The sequence below is a fragment of the Homo sapiens genome, chromosome 17, assembly GCF_000001405.40.
Source record: "Homo sapiens chromosome 17, GRCh38.p14 Primary Assembly".
NCBI classification, from domain to species: domain Eukaryota; kingdom Metazoa; phylum Chordata; class Mammalia; order Primates; family Hominidae; genus Homo; species Homo sapiens.
Window position 1 is genome coordinate 51,427,238 of NC_000017.11, and position 956 is coordinate 51,428,193.

Below are 956 nucleotides of genomic sequence, written 5' to 3' on the forward strand. Positions count from 1 at the left end.
CCCAACATGGTGAAACCCCATTTCTACTAAAAATACAAAAATCAGCCAGGTGAGGTGGCACGTGCCTGTAATCCCAGCTGCTTGGGAGGCTGAGGCAGGAGAATCACTTGAACCTGGAAGGCAGAGATTGCAGTGAGGTGAGATTGCGTCACTGCACTCCAGCCTGGGCAACGGAGCAAGACTCAAACAAAAACAAAAACAAAACAAAACAAAACAAAAAACCCTCCAAAAATAGTGACAATCTCTCACAGCAGCAACAGGAAACGAATACAGATGACTTTGAGTGTTTTGGTGGGGGCTCAGACGTCTGGAAACTTGACCCCACTGTGCTCCTATTATGCCCTTGACTAGTTGAGGCAATGTTTTTCCACCTGTTCACTGAAGGGATTGGATTAAACTGGCATCTCTGTTGGGCCCCTTCCAGTATAGCCCTCGTATGTTCTATGCTCCAGGACCGCCCAGTGGAGACAGTTGGAGTGAGTAATGAAACAGTGTTGCTAGGTTCTTTGGAGGGCTTGTGTTCATTCAACAAACTGGTACTTAATAGGAACCAGGTGCTGTGCTAATCGCTGGGAATATAAAGACAAATAAGCTGCTTTTGCCCTTGCAGAAATCAGAGTCCAGTGGGAGAGGGAGTGAGAGGGGGTAACGCACTAGTGCCAGGCCAGGGTTTCCAGGGTGGTGGGGGCAGGACTAAGGCTCCTGACTGGTGTGAAGGTGAAACTCCCCAGAAGTAAAGAATAGACAATGTTTAGCAGGAAGGGAGATGAGTGAAGGTGATTTCCCAGGCAGAGCCCGCGCAAAGGCAGGGAGGCACAGGATGTGGGGTGTCTGGGTTACAGCAAAGAGGAAATCAGGCTGATTGAGTGGGGGCGGGAGTAGTGAGTGCAGGCTGGGAGCCAGAACCTGGGGGGGCCTTATCAGCCACTCTGAGGGCAGTGGGGAGCCCCTGAAAG

The 956-nt window shown here is 50.7% G+C and overlaps 1 annotated feature.

Moving 5' to 3' along the window:
• Positions 636-685: an enhancer, noted in NCBI's record as "active region_12404". NCBI's record gives its function as "activates an Ori minimal core promoter by ATAC-STARR-seq in GM12878 lymphoblastoid cells {active_cell/tissue: GM12878}" and the evidence as "EXISTENCE:reporter gene assay evidence [ECO:0000049][PMID:35858748]".